The sequence below is a fragment of the Homo sapiens genome, chromosome 3 (genome assembly GCF_000001405.40).
Source record: "Homo sapiens chromosome 3, GRCh38.p14 Primary Assembly".
Lineage (NCBI taxonomy): Eukaryota > Metazoa > Chordata > Mammalia > Primates > Hominidae > Homo > Homo sapiens.
In genome coordinates, this window is record NC_000003.12 from 131320591 (window position 1) to 131339414 (window position 18824).

At 40.4% G+C, this 18824-nt stretch overlaps 1 protein-coding gene and 1 long non-coding RNA gene across 52 annotated transcripts in view, besides 1 other annotated feature; one reads left to right on the plus strand and one right to left on the minus strand.

Moving 5' to 3' along the window:
• Nucleotides 1–18824, plus strand: part of NEK11 (NIMA related kinase 11) — a 323589-nt gene that overhangs the window by 293714 nt on the left and 11051 nt on the right. The gene's annotated exons all lie outside the window — the stretch shown is intronic.
• Nucleotides 4502–18824, minus strand: part of NUDT16-DT (NUDT16 divergent transcript) — a 56384-nt gene continuing 42061 nt past the window's right edge. Inside the window, exons 3-4 of the long non-coding RNA NR_038976.1 lie at nt 6587–7140; nt 4502–5686 (exon numbers count right to left, since the gene is read on the minus strand). This is a non-coding gene — a long non-coding RNA (NUDT16 divergent transcript). The remainder of the gene's footprint in view (nt 5687–6586; nt 7141–18824) is intronic.
• Nucleotides 11107–11654: an enhancer, noted in NCBI's record as "NANOG-H3K27ac-H3K4me1 hESC enhancer chr3:131050541-131051088 (GRCh37/hg19 assembly coordinates)". NCBI's record gives its function as "activates a minimal SCP1, AML or CMV promoter by ChIP-STARR-seq in naive H9 embryonic stem cells {active_cell/tissue: H9 hESC(naive)}" and the evidence as "EXISTENCE:reporter gene assay evidence [ECO:0000049][PMID:30033119]".

The following is an 18824-nucleotide window of genomic DNA, read 5'->3' on the forward strand; positions in this document are numbered from 1 at the left end:
TTTACCAGATTTAAACTCATATTGTAAAAAAGAAAGCTTAGTATTTCAGTAGAGGATGCTGTATGGGAAACAATGCCTCCCAGCTTAGAAAGCTGGCCTGATCCTATAAGAATGTCAGAATTCTATGTCAATGCTAGTTCATAAGGCAATCCCATTTACAATAGCGAGACAAAAAATAAAATACCTGGGAATATATCTAACAGAGGAGGTGAAATATCTCTACAGAGAGAACTACAAAACACTGCTAAGAAATCATAGATGACACAAACAAATACAAAAACATTCCATATTCATGAATTGGGAGAATCAATATTGTTAAAATGGCAATACTACCCAAAGCAATCTACAGATTCAATGCTATTGCTATCAAATGACCAACAGAATTTTTTCACAAAATTAGGAAAAAACTATTATAAAATTCACATTGAACTAAAAAAGAGCCCAAATAGCCAAAGCAATCCTAAGCAAAAAGAACAAAGCTGGAGGCATCACATTACCCGGCTTCAAACTGTACTATAAGGCTACAGTAACCAAAACAGCATGATACTGGTACAAAAACAGACACATAGACCAATGGAACAGAATAGAGAACCCAGAAATAAGCCTCACACCTACAGCTGTCTAATTTTTGACAAAGTCTTCCAAAAATAAGCAATGGGGAAAGGACTCCCTATTCAATAAATGGTGCTGGGATAGCTGGCTAGCCATAGGCAGAAGAATAAAACAGGATCCCTACCTTTTACCATATATAAAAATTAACTAAAGATGGATTAAAGATTTAAATGTAAGACCTCAAACTGTAAGAATTCTAGAAGAAAACCTAGGAAACACCATTCTGGACATCAGCCTTGGGAAATAATATATGAATAAGTTCTCAAAAGCAATTCCAACACAAGCAAAAACTGACAAGTGGAACCTAATTAAATGAAAAAGCTTCTGCACAGCCAAAGAAACTATCAACAGAGTAAACAGACAACCTACAGAATGGGAGAAAATATTTGCAAACTATGTAATAAAGGTCTAGTATCCAGAATCTTTAAGGAGCTTAAATAATTAAGCAAAAAACCAAATAACCCCATTTAAAAAATGGGCAAGACATGGACACCTCTGAAAAGAAGACATACAAGTGGCCAAGAAACATGAAAACATGCTCAACATCACTAAATATCAGAGAAATGGAAATCAAAACCACAATGAGATACCATCTCACATCAGTCAGAATGGCTATTATCAAAAAATCAAAAAACAACAGATGCTAGTGAGGCTGCAGAGAAAAGCTAAGGTTTATACACTGTTGGTGGGAATGTAAATTAGTTCAGCCACTGTGGAAAGCAGCTTGGAGATTTCTTAAAGAATTTAAAACAGGAATACCATTTGACCTAGCAATCCCATTACTGAGTATATATCTAAAAGAAAACAAAGTGTTCAACCAAAAAGACACATGCACATGTATGTTCATCGCAGCACTATTCACAATAGCAAAGACATGGAATCAACCTAGGTGCTCATCAGTGGGGGACTGGATAAAGAAAATGTGGTAAATATACACCATGGAATATGCTGCAGCCATAAAAAAGAATGTAATCATGTCCTTTGCAGCAACATGGATGCAGCTGGAGACCATTATTCTAAGCAAATTATTGTAGGAACAGAAACCAGATACCACATGTTGTCACTTATAGGCAATGAAGACCACTAGAGGAGGGAGGAAGAGAAGGGGAAAGTGTTGAAAAACTGTTGAGTACTATGCTTGCTATCTGGGTGATCGGGCCATTCATATCCCAAACCTCAGCATCACACAATATACAGTATACCCATGTAACAAACCTGCACATGTATGCATGCCCCCAAATCTAAAATAAAGTTGCAATTATATTTTTAAAAAGCTAGTTCATAGTTGTAACTACTTTCTAGAGTCTTGCTACTATAAATGTAATCACTGCTCAACATCACTAATCATCAGAGAAATGCAAACCAGAGCCTGTGTTTCTCGAACTCTAATGTGTATATGAAGAACTTGGGGTCTCATTAAATGCAGATTGTGATTAGTAGGTCTGAGGAGGGGTGAGAGATTCTGCATGTCTAAGCAGCTCACATGTGATGCAATGCTGCTGGTGGGATCACGTTTCCTTGAGGCTTCAGCAGAGCATCCTTGTGATGGCCTTGGCTCCTCTTTTCTAAATTGTCAGTCTGACCCTGTGGGTCACATACTGAGCACTGATGAAGAGGCCCCCGCTCCCCTTCATTGTCCTTGCTCTCTCCTTGTTTGAATCTTTCCTTCTGTAAAATGGGATTAACAAACCCATGTAGAGAGTCCACTGAATGGCAGAACCTTAGACTTTCCAGTTAGAGGAAACTTTGGAGATTATATGATCTAACTTGTTCCCCTCTCCCCTGCATCACATCTTATGTCTGAAAGCCCATGCCTGAGATCCTACTCACTGAGTGTGCAGTTGTTATTCTCATCTCATTCCATCAGACCTAAGAAAGCTTGGCAGAATAAGGGCCTCTTGCAAATGTTTTCAAATACGTGGAAGTAGCTAGGACAAACAAACAAACCATTGCTCAAAAATCACTCAGCAAACCCCACCTTAACGAGGAATTTTCTCTTTTGGCTTCAGAAAGCAATTAAAAAACTCAGCATTTCTAGGCAAAAAGCTTTAGCAGTTCCCCTCTTGTTCTTTCTCACCACAGCAGGTGCTAAAGCACAGCTCAGTCTTGATTCATCCCTTCTGTCAAGAGCAGGTGTCAGCCTCAATTATTGTTTTGCAAATTCATTTCAGTCATTTAATGCAATTTCTGTAAAATGAGGTATCGATTCCCCAATCTCAGCTGTTTTTCCTGAAGCCTATACTACCTTGGCCTTCCTGGTCTCTTTCTATCTATCTCCATTCTACCTGTCTCCTTCCCCCATCTTCCTCTCTTTCTGGAATGCATGTCACATTTCCGGCCAGTGTTCTATAATAAACCCATTTGTAGTTGCCAAAGGAGAGGCATAATAAAGGCATTGTATGAATATGTTTGAATGAGAAATTCGTGAAAATCAATTTTTATTTATGGTGAAACACTTAACTTGGATAGAATATGATATAAATCAAATGTAACTATGCCTCTGGAGGCACTATGAAAAAGGGAGTGTTCTAGTTTCATGAATTTGCTTTTGTTCTGTGTATATTGCTGTAGCACCATTTTTAAAGTCCTCTTCTTAATGAGTGTCTCTAGCCAGTAAATTTCACACCTCATGTGTGTGAAGACAATTTATTGTGCAAACCAAGGCACTTTTGAGAGTAGATTGGGCAGCCATTGGTTATTGTGCTTCTGTGTCAGGCATGCACTGGGACTGTCTCAGTAAACGGCTACACATGGCCATCCTAATTACAGGCAGTTTGGGATGAAGGACTCAGTGACAGTGTGGTATTGGGAGGTGAATCTGTTGAAGAAAAAAAGCATGAAACATAATTAAACAGGCAAGGAAGGCTTTATTCAAGACTACTGCAGCAGGGGAGAGATTAATCTTGACTCTGGTTGCAGCAGGGACAGCTGGGGATTTATGGCCAATGGGCATGGCGAAGGGGTCAGTGGATAGGAAATTACTAAGAGAATTTGGTTAGGTATTAAGGGTCGGGGGATTCTTGCTGAGCTGGGCTCTGCCGGCCAGGACCAGGCCTAGTCAAGAAGAGGCCTCAGAGGAACATGATTAAGGTTTGGTCAAGGAAAGAGTCCTTGTTGAAACTCACCAAATGAAATGCAGATTTTAAAATTCACTCTTAACTAAGGAAGCTGAATAGTTTCCCAGTCATGGGAACTCATCCTTGCTCTGAGAAATTCTTCCAACTTTATGCTCTATTTTCTCCTTTGTGATTTTTAAAAAATTGTCCTTTGTAAATCTAGTTATTCTAGTTATGCTTGGTAAAGAAATCTATTTTATCTTCTGATCTTTGCTTCTACTTCAGTAAAGCTGTGGTGAAATTGACTCTTCAAAAATGAAAAAAAGTGTGGCTTGAATTGATAAAGGAAGCACAATTGTAATTCATTCAGGAAGGACTTCATCAAGTGGGCTATGTTTCATGGCACATTGTTTAGTGAGGCTTAGAGAACAGAAGGGAAAGCAAGGGGCTTATTTTTATGGTTTGTACACATGTCCATCACAGTGGAGGCTCAATGAAGGTATCTGCTTCCCCCGATAGCCCAGTGCTCACTACTAGACAACTCCTTCCCCCTCTGAGCATTGGTTTTCTTGTCCATAAAATGAAGGTGTTCGATTAGGTGAGCTCCTTGGTACCTTACAGGGATTTAAAAAAATTCTGTAATTCTGATTTTTAAAATTACTCTGTCCCTCTCTGGATTGTGCTCCAATATTATAAAATATCCTCTTGAGGCCATTCTAAAGGATTGAATATGAGCAATGGTAAATCAATCTGAAAATAATGACTTAATGTAGAACCTGTGTCTGAAAAGCTCAGTATATTTTGTGGTTTATGATACAACACATCCAAGGAGATGTATGCAAGAATGTTCCAGCAGATTTATTAATAAAAGCATGTGTGTTGGGGGAGGGGGATCAGCAGAGGAATAGCAACAACCTGAAATGTACTTCAGCAGGAGAATGAATACAGAAATAATGATGGAATGACTCACAGTGAAAGTCAGCTATAGAATCAAAGGGCATAAATTTCAACAATTTTGAGCAAAAACAAGAAATAACTTATACCATTTACTTAAAGTGTAAAGACATACAAAACAGTACTACTACTCATTTCTAAGGGGTACATACTTGTGTATATATAGTAAAAGTATTTTTTTAATTCTTGGTGGTGATAAACACCAGGCTCAGAATAGAGGTTCCCTCTGCGGGTGGGAAGGGAGTATGATTTGGGAGGGGAATTCATGGAGCTTCAGCTGTATTTGCTAATGTTTTATTTCTTAAACTGGGAGTTAGATATATATGTATTCACTGTATTATACTTTATATCTTTTCATATGTCTTAAAATATAACAACCTTATGATAAAGTTGGGATAATCATAAAAAGAGATTGCATACATTTGTTTGCAAATTAGGAACAGTCACCATAATTTAGTGGTAGCAAAGCTAATGTGAATTTGAAATCTTCTTACTACCTGTCCTGCAATTACAATGTACAAACATCAAAAAACAAAACAAAACTTCCAGTGTACACACTGGTGAAAGAACCACTAGTCAGATACCAGTCTCGAGTTGTTACTACTTAATTGCTATTGTTATTTATTTAAAATTTATACTGTGTGAGAAAAGTGTTTATGAAAACATACAGTTAGCTAAAAAGTTGTGATTGGATGCCAGATTGATAAATGAGCAGTTTACTCTGCAAATAAGTGCAAACTCAGCTATGAGCTTTCAGGTGGTCTAGACAACAAGAGAAACCTGCCTACTAGTTTCTTAGTAGACAACCTTATGATAAAGTTGGAATTGTCATGAAAAGACATTGCACACATTTGTTTGTTTGTAGATTAGAAACAGAAGCTCTAATCTACAACTCTCAGTAGGAGAGCTGGATTTTTCTTGGCTCTAAATTTTGGGGAAGAATTAATCACAAGAATCCTTATGTAATGGGTACTGAGGCATTTTGAGTGGTGCTTCTGTTGATTTGCTCTTGGCTGCAGCTCCTTGCTATTCATCCATTTCACACAGCACCCAGAGTGATCGTGCTGTAACAGAATTCAAATCATATCAACCCTCCAGAGGCTTCCCATTGCACCCATGGCAAAGTCAAGCCCCCTTACCTGACCTCCAGGCTCCCTGCTCCTGCCTGACCATCTCACCTTGTCTCTTACCATTCTTCTCCTCTTAATTAGGCTCCACCCACCACAGTTGGTGACTCTTCTTCAGAGCTTATGAGAGCTGGGCATATCCTCTTCTCTCATTTAGGAATGCCCTTCTCCCAAGTCTTGGCTTGTATGACTCATCTTTATGATTCAAGTTTCCATTCAAATGACATTCTCGGTCCCACCCCTCAAAGAGGCTTTTCTTAATGAGCAAAAGTAGCCTCACCACCACCACCTATACTATCCCTAAACCCAAGGCAAGAGGGGTGCTCTGGGCCCTGTGCTGTAGAGGGGTACCCTCCAGCCACATCCCTTCCCATGAAGCACGAAGTCCATGGAGCAAAGGGGACTTACACACCCAGAGCTTGCGTCTCCTCTGCTAGGTCATGCTCTGTGCTGTGGCTTGAATGTGACCCCTTCAAAATTCATATGGAAACTTAATCTTCATTGAGGTAGTATTAAGAGATGAGATTTTGGGAAAGTGATTAAGTCATGAGGGCAGAGCCCTCAGGAATGGATTAATACCTTTACAAAAGAGGTCTCAGAGAGATAATTGCCCCCTTTTGCCCGTCTAAGCTTTCTTCCCCTCCAGAGGACACAGCAAAAAAGTGCCATCTTGGAAGCAGAGGGAGCAGCTCCCACCAGACAGCAAATCTGCTAGCACCTTGACCTGGACCTTGGACTTCCCAGCCTCCAGAACTCTGAGAAATAAATTCTAATATTTATAAATTACCTCTTCCATAGTATTTAAGCAGCACAAGCAAACTAAGATGCCCTGCTTACCTGGGATTCCACAAGTCTCTGCCCAGATGGCCCCAAGCCCATTTCTACAGTCTGTGAGCCTCTGCCTTGGTTCCCTTTGTCTGTATTGTCAGTTTGCAGACCCCTGGGAAGCCCAAGGGTGGTCACACAGTGGCTGTTTGCAGAAGGTATGGATAAATATTAGACATAAGGGCTGCAGTATCATATGTGTACAAGAACTTCCTCTCAATGGGAGTTGGAGCCAGGCTGAGAAGAGACGGGCACAGGCCAGGAGACAGGGATCAGGGACCCAAGGGCTGGCTTGCACAGCCCTTCCACATCCCAGTGCAGAACTCTGAGGAGTCTGAGAATCCTGAGTGCAAACTTGTTCTTCCAGGTGTTTGAAAAGTTGATTTGTCAAGCTAAGAGGGTAGATCATATTTTATTAAACAGTTTGTTAGCTTGATTCACACTCTTTATTTATACATATGTGGATCTCCATTTATACTCTTGCCGCCTCTCAGAAACGTTAGCAGCAGGCCTGGCTTCCTCTGCATTTGAGTCACTCCAGAAGATGGTGGTTCAAATTCCAGGGCCTGGTGGTTAAAAAAAAAAAAAAAAAAAGGGGCGGGGTCTGTGCCAAATCTCTTTTCTGACACCCACCTTCTTGGGGATTCCAGACTTTCTTCTCAAAGTCCTGTTCTCTACTCTCTCTCCTATTTCCCTGTTTTTATTTTGTAGCACTGAAAAAAATCTAAAATTACCTTATTTGTTTACTTGTTTAATATGAGGTCTGTGAGGTCAGAGGCTTGTGGCTACATCTGCAGCATGTGGCACATACTAAGTGCTCATTAAAAATGTGCTTATAGCCAAGCATGGTGCCTCATGCCTGTACTTCTAGTGATTTGGGGGGCCAGCATGAGAAGACTGCTTGAGGCTAGGAGTTTGAGACCAGCCTGGGAAACATAGCAAGACACCCTTGTCTCTACAGAATTTTTTTTTTAATGAGCTGGGTTGTGGTGGTGTATTCCTGTAGTCCCAGCTATTCTACAGACTGAGGTGGGAGGATCACTTAAGCCTGGGAGGTCGAGGTTGCAGCTATGATTGCACCACTGCACTCCAGCCAGGGTGACAGAGCAAGACCCTGTTTCTAAAAATAATATAAATAAATAAATAAATAAATAATTGCTGAATGTGTCATGACAGGAATATTGTTTTAAAAAATTTGCTAAATGAATGACTTAGGTGCTATTTTGTGCCAGGACTATGCAGGGTACAAAGATAACTCAGAAAGGTCCTCTGCCTTCAAGGGTCGCCAAGCCTAGTTGGGGAGCAATCTTGAAAACAACAGTCTTCTGCCTTTAGTTTTACACTTCTGACATCATTAATGAATCTGGAAACAAAAATATATATGTAGCCATTATTGTAGCACTTCCGGGCAGACAAACAATTTGCAAGGTAAATAAGCTGCAGGGAAAGGGAAACATACTTTCTGTTAGTTTCTCTAAAGGTTTAGGGATAAGAGAGCTTTTAAACTTGATGACCCATCAGAATGGTGGAAAGTGCTTTTTCTCCCTCTCCCTGAAGATAAATTGCTTGTTTTTCTAGGAGTGGGGGAACATGTTAAACGTTTTCTGCTGTTAAGCTAAAATACTGTTTAGAACAGGAGGCTAAAATCTCCTTAGCTGCTGCTGTCTGCCTTATTTAACTTACATGGCAGACGGTGGCATCTGCTGAACAACACTGTGTTGGCTGCTTATCTCCTCCAAGGAGTTGAGGGACTCTGGAGTCGTCCTCAGAGGACTCCATGGGCAGCAGGGCAGCTGGGGCTTCCAGCAGCTCTGGGCAGACTTCATTTTCACTCCAGATGGCCTGGGTGTGCAAAGTGTGAAAGAAGACAGGCAGAAACACTGTCCCTTCTGCATAGAATCCCTTTTTAAAAATTAATTAAGGCTTGTGTCTAGTCACCCAGAAATATAAGAGGTCATTTTTATCTAAAGATGATTGTGCAGGCCCCATAAAGCCAATGCATTTGAAATAATGATGAATATATCATAAGAAATACTGAAAACTGTACTTGTTTGGAGTTTTATCTTGAAAAACAGCAGCTAAAAACCATAAAAGTGATTTTAGAGTTTATAAAATTAGGCTATAACTTTACTATGTGCTAATTCTTAGAATACTAGGGATGCATATATTTTTTAATAAAATTGTATGACATCACCATATTCCTTCCTATTTGACTTTCAAGACATCTACTCATTCATCCAACAAATATTTATTGACTAATTACTATGCACCAAGCACTGTTCTAGGCAGTGGGATCAGTCAAAAAAAAAAAAAGAAAATATTTTTCGTGTTTTCATGGACCTTATATTCTAATGGGTGATAAATCATAAAATATTAGGGAAAAGCAGATCATGCTGGAAAGTAGCAAATACTAAGAAGAAAATACAAAAGCAGAGATGGTGAATAAGTAGTACAGAATATTGGTAAAGACTACAGTTTAAAGAGGGTGGTCAGAATATGTCTCTCTGAGAAGATGACATGAGGGAAAAGATTTGAAGGTGATGAGGAGAGAAACATATGAATATCCAGAGAAAGAGCATTCTAGTTAGAGGGAACATCAAGTGCAAATGTCCTGGAGCAGGATGTGCCTAATGCGTTCAAAGAAGAGCAAGGAGCCAGTGCAGCCGGAATGGAGGGAGTGAGGGGAGGAAGGTAGGCAATCTGGAGAGATATGATTGGATATTGTATACCACTGGAAAGACCTTTACTCTGAGATGAAGAGTCCAATAGAGTTTTGAGCAGGGAAGTGAAAGTAGGCTTACCGTGGCTGCTGAGCTGACAATAGACTGTAGAGTAGTGAGGGTAGAAGCAGGAAACGAATCGAGTGGCTCCTGAAAGAATCAGGTGGGAGACAGAGTAGTAGTGGAAATGGTGAGAAGTGTTGGGATCCTAGTTACATTTTAAAAATGGAGCTGATAGGGCTTACTAATTGATCTGATTATGAAAGGAACTGGACTACTAGAATGTGAGAGAAAGAGAGGAATCAAAGATAACTCAGGTTTTTGACCTGAAAAGGAACTGAGATAAACAGAAATGGGGAAGACTGAATAGTATTAAGATATTTTAGAGGGAAGAGCAGGAATTTGACAGGGCACAATAATTCTAAGATTATTACCTACTAGACATCCACACAGAAGTGTCAAGTAGGTAGCTGAATACATGAGTCTGGAGTTTAGGAGAGAAGTGACAAGTGCATATTTGAGAACCAACAGTTTAAGGGAGGATTTAAAGTCATGAAACTAGATGACCCACCTTGGGAGAGAATGTGGATAGAGGACAGAAGAAGTCTAGGGATCAGGGAGATATGGAGGAACAAGCATAGTCAAATCAGAGAAGATCATTTTGGGGAAAATATTGGAGGACCTTGTTAAGTTTCTTGGAGTCTTCTTCCAATTTCCTAAAATTTAAATCATCCTATTTGAAGAGTCTGTCATCATTGTTACTGATTTTTCAGTTTTTTGGTGATTGACCTAATGCTCAGATCCTTTCTTATCAATGACAGCACAAGATTCCAACATGGTTTTCTTCACATAGTCCATTTTGTGTTGCTGTAACAGAACACCACAATCTGAGTAATTTATAAAGAAAATAAATTTGTTTCTCACAGTTCTGGAGGCTGGGAAGTCAAATATCAAGGTGCCAGCATCTGGTAAGGGCCATCTTGCTACATCATCCCATGGCAGAAGTCGGAAGGGCAAGAGAGAGGGGAAAAGAGAGAAGGAAGGGGGGGGGGCAAAATCATCCTTTTATCAGGAACCCACTCCTACAATAACTAACCACTCCCATAATAACAGCATTAATCCATTCATAAGGCAGAGCCCTCAAGACCAAATTACTTCTTACAGGTCCCACCTCTTAACACTGCTGCAATGGGAATTAAGTTTCCAACACATGAACCTTGGGGGACACATTCATGCACTATGTGACATCCTGCATCTGCAAGTTTTGCAGTGCCATTTTAATGAAGTCAGTTTACTTTGCACTTGCACTTTGTGTTTACCCTGTCACAGCTCACCGGTAACAGAACTCTTAGTGTGATGGACAGAGATAGAAACTAGCATTCAGCAAAGAGGCAGTTTTCAGGGTGGACTAATTTTATACACAACCATTTATCAGTAGATATTTTTAAGTTCTGATGCTTTAAAAATCCTTGTAAATTTGGGGGCTTGAGTAATGAATATTAGATGATAATGACCTTCCGGGTATCCATTAAACCATTAGCAATGTCTCCAGTTTGTTAAGAATTAATAGATATTAAAAATCAGAAGGAGGGCAGCCAAGATGGCCGAATAGGAACAGCTCTGGTCTACACCTCCCAGCGTGAGCGACGCAGAATACGGGTGATTTCTGCATTTCCATCTGAGGTACCAGGTTCATCTCACTAGGGAGTGCCAGACAGTGGGCGCAGGACAGTGGGTGCAGCGCACCGTGCGTGAGCCGAAGCAGGGCGAGCAAGGCATTGCCTCACTCGGGAAGCGCAAGGGGTCAGGGAGTTCCCTTTCCTAGTCAAAGAAAGGGGTGACAGACGGCACCTGGAAAATCGGGTCACTCCCACCCTAATACTGCGCTTTTCCGACGGGCTTAAAAAACGGTGCACTAGGAGATTATATCCCACAACTGGCTCGGAGGGTCCTACAACCACAGAGTCTCGCTGATTGCTAGCACAGCGGTCTGAGATCAAACTGCAAGGCGGCAGCGAGGCTGGGGGAGGGGCGCCTGCCATTGCCCAGGCTTGCTTAGGTAAACAAAGCAGCCGGGAAGCTTGAGCTGGGTGGAGCCCACCACAGCTCAAGGAGGCCTGCCTGCCTCTGTAGGCTCCACCTCTGGGGGCAGGGCACAGACAAACAAAAAGACAGCAGTAACCTCTGCAGAATTAAACGTCCCGGTCTGACAGCTTTGAAGAGAGCAGTGGTTCTCCCAGCATGCAGCTGGAGATCTGAGAACGGGCAGACTGCCTCCTCAAGTGGGTCCCAGACCCCTGACCCCTGAGCAACCTAACTGGGAGGCACCCCCCAGTAGGGGCACACTGACACCTCACATGGCCAGGTACTCCTCTGAGACAAAACTTCCAGAGGAACGATCAGACAGCAGCATTCGTGGTTCACGAAAATCCGCTGTTCTGCAGCCACCGCTGCTGTTACCCAGGCAAACAGGGTCTGGAGTGGACCTCTAGCAAACTCCAACAGACCTGCAGCTGAGGGTCCTGTCTGTTAGAAGGAAAACTAACAAACAGAAAGGACATCCACACCAAAAACCCATCTGTACATCACCATCATCAAAGACCAAAAGTAGATAAAACCACAAAGATGGGGAAAAAACAGAGCAGAAAAACTGGAAACTCTAAAAAACAGAGCGCCTCTCCTCCTCCAAAGGAACGCAGTTCCTCACCAGCAACGGAACAAAGCTGGATGGAGAATGACTTTGACGAGCTGAGAGAAGAAGGCTTCAGATGATCAAAATACTCCGAGCTACAGGAGGAAATTCAAACCAAAGGCAAAGAAGTTGAAAACTTTGAAAAAAATTTAGACGAATGTATAACTAGAATAACCAATACAGAGAAGTGCTTAAAGGAGCTGATGGAGCTGAAAGCCAAGGCTCGAGAACTGCGTGAAGAATGCAGAAGCCTCAGGAGCCGATGCAATCGACTGGAAGAAAGGGTATCAGTGATGGAAGACTAAATGAATGAAACGAAGCGAGAAGGGAAGTTTAGAGAAAAAAGAATAAAAAGAAATGAACAAAGCCTCCAAGAAATATGGGACTATGTGAAAAGACCAAATCTACGTCTGATTGGTGTACCTGAAAGTGACGGGGAGAATGGAACCAAGTTGGAAAACACTCTGCAGGATATTATCCAAGAGAACTTCCCCAATCTAGCAAGGCAGGCCAACCTTCAGATTCAGGAAATACAGAGAACACCACAAAGATACTCCTCAAGAAGAGCAACTCCAAGACACATAATTGTCAGATTCACCAAAGTTGAAATGAAGGAAAAAATGTTAAGGGCAGCCAGAGAGAAAGGTCGGGTTACCCACAAAGGGAAGCCCATCAGACTACCAGCGGATCTCTCGGCAGAAACTCTACAAGCCAGAAGAGAGTGGGGGCCAATATTCAACATTCTTAAAGAAAAGAATTTTCAACCCAGAATTTCATATCCAGCCAAACCAAGCTTCATAAGTGGAGGAGAAATAAAATACTTTACAGACAAGCAAATGCTGAGAGATTTTGTCACCACCAGGCCTGCCCTAAAAGAGCTCCTGAAGGAAGCACTAAACATGGAAAGGAACAACCGGTACCAGCCACTGCAAAATCATGCCAAAATGTAAAGACCATCGAGGCTAGGAAGAAACTGCATCAACTAACGAGCAAAATCACCAGCTAACATCATAATGACAGGATCAAATTCACACATAACAATATTAACTTTAAATGTAAATGGACTAAATGCTCCAATTAAAAGACACAGACTGGCAAATTGGATAAAGAGTCAAGACCCATCAGTGTGCTGTATTCAGGAAACCCATCTCATGTGCTGAGACACACATAGGCTCAAAATAAAAGGATGGAGGAAGATCTAGCAAGCAAATGGAGAACAAAAGAAGGCAGGGGTTGCAATCCTAGTCTCTGATAAAACAGACTTTAAACCAACAAAGATCAAAAGAGACCAAGAAGGCCATTACATAATGGTAAAGGGATCAATTCAACAAGAAAAGCTAACTATCCTAAATGTATATGCATCCAATACAGGAGCACCCAGATTCATAAAGCAAGTCCTGAGTGACCTACAGAGAGACTTAGACTCCCACACAATAATAATGGGAGACTTTAACACCCCACTGTCAACATTAGACAGATCAATGAGACAGAAAGTTAACAAGGATATCCAGGAATTGAACTCAGCTCTGCACCAAGTGGACCTAATAGACATCTACAGAACTCTCCATCCCAAATCAACAGAATATACATTTTTTTCAGCACCACACCACACCTATTCCAAAATTGACCACATAGTTGGAAGTAAAGCTCTCCTCAGCAAATGTAAAAGAACAGAAATTATAACAACTGTCTCTCAGACCACAGTGCAATCAAACTAGATCTCAGCATTAAGAAACTCACTCAAAACTGCTCAACTACATGGAAACTGAACAACCTGCTCCTGAATGACTACTGGGTACATAATGAAATGAAGGCAGAAATAAAGATGTTCTTTGAAACCAATGAGAACAAAGACACAACATACCAGAATCTCTGGGACACATTCAAAGCAGTGTGTAGAGGGAAATTTATAGCACTAAATGCCCACAAGAGAAAGCAGGAAAGATCCAAAATTGACACCCTAACATCACAATTAAAAGAACTAGAAAAGCAAGAGCAAACACATTCAAAAGCTAGCAGAAGGCAAGAAATAACTAAAATCAGAGCAGAACTGAAGGAAATAGAGACACAAAAAACCCTTCAAAAAATTAATGAATCCAGGAGCTGGTTTTTTTGAAAGGATCAACAAAATTGATAGACCGCTAGCAAGATTAATAAAGAAAAAAAGGGAGAAGAATCAAATAGACACAATACAAAATGATAAAGGGGATATCACCACTGATCCCACAGAAATACAAATTACCATCAGAGAATACTACAAACACCTCTACGCAAATAAACTAGAAAATCTAGAAGAAATGGATAAATTCCTTGACCCATACACCTTCCCAAGACTAAACCAGGAAGAAGTTCAATCTCTGAATAGACCAATAACAGGATCTGAAATTGTGGCAATAATCAATAACTTACCAACCAAAAAGAGTCCGGGACCAGATGGATTCACAGCCGAATTCTACCAGAGGTACAAGGAGGAACTGGTGCCATTCCTTCTGAAACTATTCCAATCAATAGAAAAAGAGGGAATCCTCCCTAACTCATTTTATGAGGCCAGCATCATCCTGATACCAAAGCCTGGCAGAGACACAACCAAAAAAGAGAATTTAAGACCAATATCCTTGATGAACATTGATGCAAAAATCCTCAATAAAATACTGGCAAACCAAATCCAGCAGCACATCAAAAAGCTTATCCACCATGATCAAGTGGGCTCATCCCTGGGATGCAAGGCTGGTTCAATATATGCAAATCAATAAATGTAATCCAGCATATAAATGGAACCAAAGACAAAAACCACATGATTATCTCAATAGATGCAGAAAAGGCCTTTGACAAAATTCAACAACCTTCATGCTAAAAACTCTCAATAAATTAGGTATTGATGGGACATATCTCAAAATAATAAGAGCTATCTATGACAAACTCACAGCCAATATCATACTGAATGGGCAAAAACTGGAAGCATTCCCTTTGAAAACTGGCACAAGCCAGGGATGCCCTCTCTCACCACTCCTATTCAACATAGTGTTGGACGTTCTGGCCAGGGCAATTAGGCAGCAGAAGGAAATAAAGGGTATTCAATTAGGAAAAGAAGAAGTCAAATTGTCCCTGTTTGCAGATGACATGATTGTATATCTAGAAAACCCCACTGTCTCAGCCCAAAATCTCCTTAAGCTGATAAGCAACTTCAGCAAAGTCTCAGGATAGAAAATCAATGTGCAAAAATCACAAGCATTCTTATACATCAATAACAGACAAACAGAGAGCCAAATCATGAGTGAACTCCCATTCACAATTGCTTCAAAGAGAATAAAATACCTAGGAATCCAACTTACAAGGGATGTGAAGGACCTCTTCAAGGAGAACTACAAACCACTGCTCAATGAAATAAAAGAGGATACAAAGAAATGGAAGAACATTCCATGCTCATGGGTAGGAAGAATCAATATCATGAAAACGGCCATGCTGCCCAAGGCAATTTATAGATTCAATGCCATCCCCATCAAGCTACCAATGACTTTCTTCACAGAATTGGAAAAAACTACTTTAAAGTTCATATGGAACCAAAAAAGAGCCCGCATCACCAAGTCAATCCTAAGCCAAAAGAACAAAGCTGGAGGCATCACGCTACCTGACTTCAAACTATACTACAAGGTTACAGTAACCAAAACAGCATGGTACTGGTACCAAACAGAGATATAGATCAATGGAACAGAACAGAGCCCTCAGAAATAACGCCGCATTTCTACAACTATCTGATCTTTGACAAACCTGAGAAAAACAAGCAATGGAGAAAGAATTCCCTATTTCATAAATGGTGCTGGGAAAACTGGCTAGCCATATATAGAAAGCCGAAACTGGATCCCTTCCTTACACCTTATACAAAAATTAATTCAAGATGGTTTAAAGACTTAAACATTAGACCTGAAACCATAAAAACCCTAGAAGAAAACCTAGGTATTACCATTCAGGACATAGGCGTGGGCAAGGACTTCATGTCTAAAACACCAAAAGCAATGGCAACAAAAGCCAAAATTGACAAATGGGATCTCATTAAACTAAAGAGCTTCTGCACAGCAAAAGAAACTACTATCAGAGTGAACAGGCAACCTACAAAATAGGAGAAAATTTTCGCAACTTACTCATTTGACAAAGGGCTAATATCCAGAATCTACAATGAACTCAAACAAATTTACAAGAAAAAAACAACCGCATCAAAAAGTGGGTGAAGGACATGAACAGACACTTCTCAAAAGAAGACATTTATGCAGCCAAAAGACACATGTAAAAATGCTCATCATCACTGGCCATCAGAGAAATGCAAATCAAAACCACAATGAGATACCATCTCACACCAGTTAGAATGGCAATCATTAAAAAGTCAGGAAACAACAGGTGCTGGAGAGGATGTGGAGAAATAGGAACACTTTTACACTGTTGGTGGGACTGTAAACTAGTTCAACCATTGTGGAAGTCAGTGTGGCAATTCCTCAGGCATCTAGAACTAGAAATACCATTTGACCCAGCCATCCCATTACTGGGTATATACCCAAAGGACTATAAATCATGCTGCTATAAAGACACATGCACACGTATGTTTATTGTGGCACTATTCACAATAGCAAAGACTTGGAACCCACTCAAATGTCCAACAATGATAGACTGGATTAAGAAAATGTGGCACATATACACCATGGAATACTATGCAGCCATAAAAAATGATGAGTTCATGTCCTTTGTAGGGACATGGATGAAATTGGAAATCATCATTCTCAGTAAACTATCGCAACGACAAAACACCAAACACCGCATGTTCTCACTCATAGGTGGGAATTGAACAATGAGAACACATGGACACAGGAAGGGGAACATCACACTCTGGGGACTGTTGTGGGGTGGGGGGAGTGGGGAGGGATAGCATTAGGAGCTATACCTAATGCTAAATGACGAGTTAATGGGTGCAGCACACCAGCATGGCACATGTATACATATGTAACTAACCTGCACATTGTGCACATGTACCCTAAAACTTAAAGTATAATAATAATAAAATTTAAAATAATAAATAAATAAAAATAAATAAAAATAAAAATCAGCTTAGAAATTGTTCCAGAAGTTAATGTCTTCATTTATAAAGGAAGACAGTGACTGGCCTACAGAACTGAGTGACTAGACTGCACAGCTAGCTAGGAGCAAAGCCTGAATGAGAATCAATCTGAACCCCCCCTCCATGTAGTGCCATTTAGTGGTTAAGATACTTAACATCTGTGCCTCAGTTTCTTCAACTGTGAAACAGGAGTTATATCGCATACCTCATATGATTGTGTAAATAACACATTAAAAAATAGATATCAAGTGCTTGGCATAAATTTTTTTTCTTTTTTTTTGAAACGGAGTCTTGCTCTGTCACCCAGGCTGGAGGGCAGTGGCGTGATCTCAGGTCACTGCAGTGGCACGATCTTGGCTCACTGCAGCCTCCACCTCCTGGGTTCAAGCAATTCTCCTGCCTCAGCCTCCCGAGTAGCTGGGACTACAGGCACACGCCGCCATGCCCGGCTTATTTTTGTATTTTTAGTAGAGACGGGGTTTCACCATATTGGCCAGGATGGTCTTGATCTCCTGCCCTCGTGATCCACTGGCCTCGGCCTCCCAAAGTGTTGGGATTACAGGCATGAGCCACGGCGCCCAGCTGGTTTTTTTTTTTTTTTTTTTTTTTTTAATACTAAGTCTGGCAAGGATATGGAGCAACTAAGACTGTCATACACTGCTGGTGGGAATGCAAAATGGAACATCTGCTTTGGAAAACAGTTGAGTGGTTTCTTCACACTTGATCTTCACCAAACGGCTGAGAAGCAATAAGCAGTTTCTTATAAAGTTAAATATACACTTACCATACAACCCAGAAATTCCACTCCTAGGTATTTATCCAAGTCAAGTGAAAATATATGTCCACACAAAAACCTACATATGAATACATATAGCAACTTTATTCACAATCTTCAAAAACTAGGAACAACCCAAATATTGGTCAGCTATGAATGGATAAACCAACTGCAGCACATCCGTACAGTGAAACACTGATCAGCAATAAAAGGAACAAATTATAATACACACAGCAGTTTAGATGAATCTCAAAGATGCTATGTTAATTGAAAGGCACCAGTTCTTTAAAAGCTGCATTCTGAATGATTCCATTCATATGACATTCTGGAAAAGGCAAAACTGAAGGAACAAAAACAGGTCAGTTATCACCAAGGGGTGGAGGGAGGACTTGGTTACAAAAGGATATGAGGGAATTCTGGAGTGTGATGAAATTGCTCTGTATCTCAGTTGAGGTGTGAGTTAGATGGCTGAATGAGTTTATCCAAACTCATAGAGCTGTACATTCAAAAGAAGAAATTTTGTTATATATATTTTTTTATCAATTTAAAAAATATATAAAAAATAAAAGAGGGAATCCCAAAGATGAAATAAAAACAAAACATTCCTGGGACTTAACAGACTCTTTGAAAAACAAGTTTTCTTCTATTTTCCCCTCCTTTCCCTGAGAAAGAATTACTCATGATTGAAAGCCCTTAAAAAGAATTTGCTTACTCAGATATTATTTTTAAAAGGAGTGAAATTCATGACTCACAAAGTGTCTATTTTCTTCTGGCTTTTAAGTCATTTTTTACTTCATTTTTTCAACAAATAATTATCGATCACCTATAAGCAAAGAATGTCTTCCTGAGCTCTCACTTATAATTGAACATTTAGAGCTGAAGGAATCCTTAGAAATCAGTTAGTCTACATTGCAGATGAAGTAACTGAGGCTCTGAAAAGTGAAAGTCACTCACCCAGT